Source organism: Homo sapiens, chromosome 1, assembly GCF_000001405.40.
Source record: "Homo sapiens chromosome 1, GRCh38.p14 Primary Assembly".
NCBI classification, from domain to species: Eukaryota; Metazoa; Chordata; class Mammalia; order Primates; family Hominidae; genus Homo; species Homo sapiens.
This window is the reverse complement of record NC_000001.11, coordinates 222,166,218-222,173,592: the sequence shown is the minus strand read 5'-3', so window position 1 is coordinate 222,173,592 and position 7,375 is coordinate 222,166,218. Positions and strand designations below refer to the sequence as shown.

At 40.3% G+C, this 7,375-nt stretch overlaps 1 annotated feature.

Annotated features, from left to right (window-relative positions):
• Positions 5,444 to 6,643: an enhancer, noted in NCBI's record as "CDK7 strongly-dependent group 2 enhancer chr1:222340292-222341491 (GRCh37/hg19 assembly coordinates)". NCBI's record gives its function as "activates an origin of replication core promoter dependent on BRD2, BRD4, P300/CBP, MED14 and CDK7 cofactors, with strong dependence on CDK7, by STARR-seq in HCT116 cells {active_cell/tissue: HCT116}" and the evidence as "EXISTENCE:reporter gene assay evidence [ECO:0000049][PMID:35650434]".

Sequence of the window (7,375 nt, the reverse complement as noted above, 5' to 3'; positions counted from 1 at the left end):
CATGCAAGATGTGCCTACTTCCCCTTCCCCTTCCCCTTCCACCATTGTAAGTTTGTAAGTTTCCTGAGGCCTTCCCAGAAGCAGAAGCCACTATGCTTCCTGTACAGCCTGTAGAACCATGAGCCAATTAAACCTCTTTTCTTTATAAATTACCCAATCTCAAGTATTTCTTTATAGCAGTACAAGGACAGCCTATGCATTATGTCTTTGTTTTCATTTATTTAAATGATTTTTTAAAATTTTTGTCTTGATTTTGTTGTTTACTCAAAAGTCATTTAAGATCAAGTTATACAATTTTCATGTAAGTGTGTGATTTTTACTGATCTTCTTGTCTTCTTTGTATTGATTTCTATTTTTATTTCATTGTTGTCCAAGAGTATGGGTATGATTTTGATTTTTTTAATTTTTTGAGTCACACTTTATTGTTGAACATATGGTCAATCCATATGCAGATAAGAAGAATGGATATTTTGTGGTTGATGGGTGGAATATTCGGTAGATATCTATTAGGTCCAATTAGTCAAGTGTCAAATTTAAGTCCAGAATTTTGTTGATAGTTTTCTGCCTTGATGATCTGTCTAATGCTGTCAGTGGGGTGTTCAAATCTCCCACTATTATTGTGTGGTAGTTTAAGTGTTTTCATAAATCTAGAAGTACTTGTTTTATAAATTCTTGTGCTCCAATGTTAGGTACATACATATTTAGGATAGTTAAATCTTCCTGTTGAAACCTTTATCATTACATAATGCCCAGCTGTCTTCTTTTTTTGTTTACTATTGTTGGTTTAAAGTCTTTCCCATTTGATATAAGAATAGCAACCCCTGCTCTTTTTTGTTTGCCATTTGCATGGTAGATCTTTCTCCAACCCTTTACTTTGAACCTATGGGTATCATTATGTGTGAGATGGGTCTGTTGAAGACAGCAGATGAATGGGTCTTGTTTTTTAATCCAATTTTCCACTCTGTGACTTTTATGTGGAGCTTTTAGACTGTTTACATTCAAGGTTAAGACTAATATAAGAGGTTTTGATCCTATCATGAAGTTGTTTGCTGGTTACTTTGCAGTTTCTATTGTGTGGTTGTTTTATAGGATATGTAGGCTATGTGCATAAGTGTGTTTTTGTGGTAGTGGGTATTGTTCTTTTATTCTCATGTTTAGAACTCTCTTAAAACTCTCTTGTAAGGCTGGTCTACTGGTAACAAATTCCTATAGTGCTTGCTTGTCTGAAAAATATTTTATTTCTTTTTCATTTATAATGCTTAGTTTGGTGGAATATGAAATTCATGGTTGGAATTCCTTTTATTTAAGAATGTGTAAAATAGGTCCTCAATCTCTCCTGGCTTGTAAGGTTTCTGCTGACAAGTCTGCATTTAACCTGATAAGATTCCCTTTGTAAATTATCTGTCCTTTTTCTCTGCATGCCTTTAAAATTTTTTTCTTTGACATTGACTTCATATAGTCTAGTGACTGTGTGTCTTGAGTCTTGGTGATTTTCATTTTACACAGTTTCTTGCAGGTGTTCTCTGGATTTCTTGTATATAGATGTCTACCTCTCTAGCAAGATAAGGGAAGTGTTCTTGAATTATCCTCAAATATATTTTTTGGGTTGTTTACTTTTTCTCTCTCAGGAATGCCAGTAATTTGTAGAATTGGTTGCTTTACATAATCACATAATTTCTCAAAGACTTTTTTCATTTTTTTTATAATTCTTTTTTCTTTATTTTTATCTGAATTGGGTTAGTTTGAAAGATCAGTGTTCAAACTCTGAAAATCTTTCTTCTGCTTGTCTAGTCTATTGATAAAGATTTCAATTGTATTTTTAAATTCCTTAAGTGAGTTTTTCAATTCCAGAGCTCCAATTGACTTATTTTTAAGATATTTATCTCTTAATTTCCTGGATCGCTTTAGACTTTTCTTTGTGTTACTTTTCAACCTTGTCTTGGATCTCATTGAGCCTCTTGGCAATCCATGCTTTCATTTTTCTATATGTCATTTCTGAGCTTCCATTTTGGTTATGGACCATTGTCGGAAAGCTAGTGCAATCCTTTGGTGGTGTCACTACATTTATATTTTTCATAGTTCCAGAATTCTTGTGCTAGTTTCTTCTCACCTAGAGATGCTGACATTTCTAATTTTTATAATTATTTTTGTGTAGATAGGATTTTTTTCTTTCTTTTTCTTTCTCTATAATAATATTATTTTTTTCTTTCCCTTTCTCTTTTCACCTTCCCTAGGAGTGTGACTATAGAGTATGTTGCGTAGGGTCTTTTGGCTTTACTTCTATAGCCCTATTCACTTCTTTAGATAGGTTTTATATTGGGTTGTGCAGTTCAACCTACAGACCAGTAGATGGTGCTTATAGGTAAGATCTAGCTGCAGCCAACACAGCTGGTTATATACTTGATCCTTGTTTATTGGCAGAAGCTCTCGGTTGCCTCAGGTAATGGGCTGACATGTGGAATACACAGTGGTCTCAGCTCACTGCTCAGTTCTAGTGTGGAAGGGGCCATGAAGGGTAGGGTTGGATTAGGCAGGTTCACTTATATGTCCCCTGATAGCAGGCACCATCACTGCTGCTGAGGTAGAATCCAGTGGACAGCCACCAAGTACCCAGAGTTGTGCCTAGATCTGGAGCTGGGAAACATCCTTGGTCCCCAGTTCTTTGTACGGGGAGTAGGGTGGCCTAAACTCCTAATCTAGGAGAGTGGAAACTCCAGATGCCTGGAGATCTGCCTGGGTGTGGAGCAGAGAGGGTCCCCCTGCACCAAGATATCTGCACAGGATGGGTGGGGTGGCTCAGTCTTCTCATTCAGGAGAGCAGTGCTCTAAATGCCTGATCTGCCTGCGTGTGTAGCAGAGAGGGCACCCCTGCACCATGATATATGTCCAGGAAGGGTGGGACTGATGAGCCTTCCTAATGCAGGCTAGCTGGTGATACAAATTCCTGAAAATCTGCCTGGATGTGAAGCAGACAGGGCCTCTCTGCATCAGAATCTCTGTATAGAAAGTGTGGTACAGGTCAGGATGCTGATCCAGGTGAGTGGGTGCTCTGAATTCCCAGAGATCTGTGTGGGTATGGAGCAGAGAGAGCCCCACTGTACCACAATCTATGTCCATGAAGGGTGGGGAAGCTCAATCTGCTGTTCCAGGCAAGCAGGTGCTCCAAATGCCTGGATTTCTGCCCTGCCTGAGTGTGGAACAGAGAGGGCCTTGCTGCACCGCAGTCTCAGAGGAACAAGATGAGGCATTCAGCCATGGCACATGCAGACCTGTTCCAAGTCGCCAAGCTGGCTCTGGCTGCAAGTCTTGCCACCCAGGAGAAATTGCAGGTATAGCAGCTCTCCTCCCACCCCAGGCTCATGATGGGGGACAGCACAGTTCCAACACCTGCTGCTGAGATGCTTTCCATAGTTTAGGCTGTGAAGGCCCCTACCCTGTTCCAGAGCAAATGTTCCAATCTCTGGCCTGCGACTAAAGTGCCTCCATGGTCATGCTGCCAGATTACCAAAGATCTTTTTATATGCCCAGATTAAAAATGGCTTCCTGCTCTTAGTCTTGGGTCTGAGAAAATGTCTGTAGTTCTTCATGGTATCTTTCTGTCACAGCATCTCCAAGCCTCTCCCCAAGTTAGCTCCAGGGCTTGGGAGAAACAAAATACTCTCCCTAAGCCTGAGTTGCTCAGATTCCCATTGGAAGGGAGAGTTATGGGGGAGGATCTCTGTCCCTCTCATGTACTGGGGCTTGACTCATGTTTATCAGATGGATGCTGTCACAGGGACTGTTTTCTGGTGTTCTCGTCTCTGGGATCTGGGGTGTCCTTCAGAATTATCGTGGATTCCTATTTTTCTTCTTGAATTAAAGCTCACAGAGTTGACGTTTATGTACTATCTTGCTAACTCCACATGAGTGAGGCACACTGAAAATCTCTAATCTGCCATCTTGGGAAAAAAAAACTTCTAGTTTTGATATGCTGGACTTAAGTTGGTGGTTGAGAACAGATGTATCGTAGATGCTTGGCAACATAGATATGGATGGAGTTCAGGAGACGAGAAGGCTAGGAATGTAGATTGGGAATTATTAACTATAGCAACTAATTTGAAGCCATGGGAACGAATAAGTTTAACCAGAGAGTATGCAGCATGAAAGGGGGAAAGGGAAGATGAAGAATACTGAAAATCGCCAAATTTAAAGGATGGTTAGAGGAAATGGATGCAGCAAAGGGGTCAGAGATGCAAGAACAAAGGAGATATAAGGAAAAGCAGGAATGATGATATCACAAAATTCAGATGTGGAGAGATTTCCAAGAAACGAGTGATGGAGGTGATTACCAGATTTGGCAAGTAGGTATGTGTTAGTCTGTCTGTGTCACTATAAACAAACTAATACATACCTATATAAACAGACTAATACATACACATGCCTTGGACTGGATAATTTATAAAGAAAAGAGGTTTATTTGGTTCATGGTTCTGCAGGCTGTACATGAAGCCTAGTGCCATCAACTCCTTCTGGTGAGGGCCTCAGGAAGATTACAATCATCGTGGAAGGCAAAGGGAGACACCATGTCACATGGCGAGAGAGGCAGCAAGAGAGAGAGGGGGGAAGTACAAGGCTCTTTTAAACAACCTTTCACATGAGCTCATTGAGTGAGAACTCACTCATTACTGTGAGAGCAGCATCAAGCCATTCATGAAGGATCCACCCCCAAGATCCAAACACCTCTTACCAGCCCACACTTCCAACATTGGAGGTCACATTTCAACATCAGATTTTGAAAGAAGAAAACATCCAAACCACATCAAGGGGCTTTTGTTGACCTTGGCAAGATCATTTCAGTGGAGGGGTGGGAACAAAGTTTGGGTGAATGAGAAGTGAATAGGAGGTGAAAGAACAGACAAGGGAAGGTAAAGCCCACATCTGAAACTTTCCTAAGTGCCAATTAGACTAGAACAAACTGAATTTCTTTCTCCCTCTTTCTTTCATTCACTTCCTTCTTCCTCCCAGTTTTCCTCTCCTCTTCCTCCTCCTCTTCCTTCTTTTCTCTCTCTCTCTCCCTCTCCTCCTGCTCTTCCTCCTTGCCTCCTCCTCCTCCTTCCCTCTTCCTTCTCTTGCTGCCCCTGTATTTCTATTCACAAATGCATATTGAACACCTACTATGGTCCAGAAACCAGGGAAGACACCAGGTTACAAAGATAAAACCAACATAGCTAGTCTTCTGCAGGCTATTATCTAGTAAGCAAAACAAGATAAAAACGACATACTGGAAAAGGGATTTGTTATATATAAGGCAAAGATAAATATCCACATGGATATTTAATTTTTACATTGTGAGGAGAGAATGAAGATGGGGAGAAAAAGAGATGTAAAGTGGGTGAAGATTATGAAGATTGGGGCAAGAGGCATTCCAGGATCAGGAAACAGAATGGGCAAAGAGTTAGAGGAAATGCAGGAATTTGTATAGGCAACAGTGAGTAGTTCCAGGAAGGTACAGTGTAGAGCATGAAGAGAAGAGTGAAAGTGAGTCAGAAAATGTCAGAAAGCTTTCATACTTGGTCGGCAAGGGAGAAACTATGGGGGGTTTTGAGTAAGAAAGAGGTGACCAGACTGTCCTTCACAAGCATTTTTCTGGTAGAAAAGGGACATAAATGATTAAAGACCTCAGGCTTAGACAGAGGGCTAAGAAATAAAAGAAAATAGTTCTTCATAATGTGTTTAATCAATATTCATCGACAATAATGAATAATTAATTTGACCAATAATTTAGTAACCTGGAAAGATCATTTCATCGTTTTGCCTTCTTTTTCTGGCATTTGTTGTTTTCCTTAAAGAAAGAAAAAGCAAATCTCACTGTCTTTAATGTCACATTCATTGAATAAAAATAGACTAGGGTGATTACAATTTTTTAAAAATCAGCTAATTTACTCTTGCTATAGATTGATTTTTCTAAGCACCTGTTTCACAATGCAAGTCTTAAATCTATTGTGACTTTGGAGGTTGACTTTTTAATAGGCAGCTTATACACTTTCTAAAAACTATTATGATTTAGTTCATGCACACCGAAATGAACAAGTGACCAACACAGCTCTTTTGGAGGATGGTCTAATGATGAGTGTCCAGCCTCACAGTGAAAATAACATGTGGGCATCTGGAGTCTCTTGACTCACCTCTCAAAACCCCAATTCTCAACCCACTCAGTATGTGGGATATGAGTCAGACTCACGCTAACAGGGAAAACAGGCCCCATTTTGGGCACTGGGCATGAATGGCACATTTGCCTTGACATGTCCTGCCTATTTTGTAAGAGGTATTGCTATCTTAGATTCATGATTTGGTCTCCCAGGACAATGTTCCCAGCAGGGAATTAGAGTACCATGGGTGGCCTCCAGGTGGCGTGACCTGAGAGCCAAGGCCTCGTTTTTCACATAGATTGTTAATAACTCACCCTGATTCTTGGTTTATCCTTGACATTTCTGTTCTATTCTGGTAATATATTTTTTATTTTCTTTCTTTCAGCAACCATTTATAGTTGACATGGAGGTTGCTTCATAAAAACTCTTCTCCTTCTGAATTAATCAGTAGATGGAAACAGTTGGAGAAGCCTGGCTTTAGAACAACGGTGGTCAACCTCAGGAGAAGGATTCAGAATTTGGTCCTGTTTTTTGTTTTTAATTTGGCAAATAACATTGTATGCATTTACCTTACACAACATGTGCCACTGTTTTTGACAAAGAGCCTCAACAATTATTTCTGAAATTTCAATATATTTTTTAAGTTGCTTAGGCGCAGACCACTGGATGTGTATTGAAATCTCCAAAAAACATACTCTTGTAATCATCCCTGGCCTATGAGGGTCTGTGTTGGGTCTAAAAAGTACTTAGTAGATTTTTTTTGTGGTTTTTTTTTTTTTTTTTTTTTTTTTTTTGAGATAGAGTCTTGCTCAGTCACCCAGGCTGGAGTGCAGTGGTGCGATCTCAGCTCACTGCAGCCTCTGCCTCCTGGGTTCCAGCGATTCTCCTGCCTCAGCCTCCTGGGTAGCTGGGATTACAGGCACATGCCACCACGCCCGGGTAATTTTTTTGTATTTTTAGTAGAGACAGGTTTTTACCATGTTGGCCAGGCTAGTCTCGAACTCCTGAGCTCAGGTGATCCACCTGCCTTGGCCTCCCAACGTGCTGGGATTACAGGCATGAGCCACTGTGCCTGGCCTGTAGTTTTAAACATTCTTTAGATTTTGGAGTCACCAGCTTTGCTCTGGCATATCATTTTAGGGTTTTCAAAGAGAACAATTGGTTTTAACTACAATGTCAATTGAACTGGCCCGAGGAATCGAGGAATCGCTTTCCTTCTTACATGTCCCAAAGACTTCGTATGAATT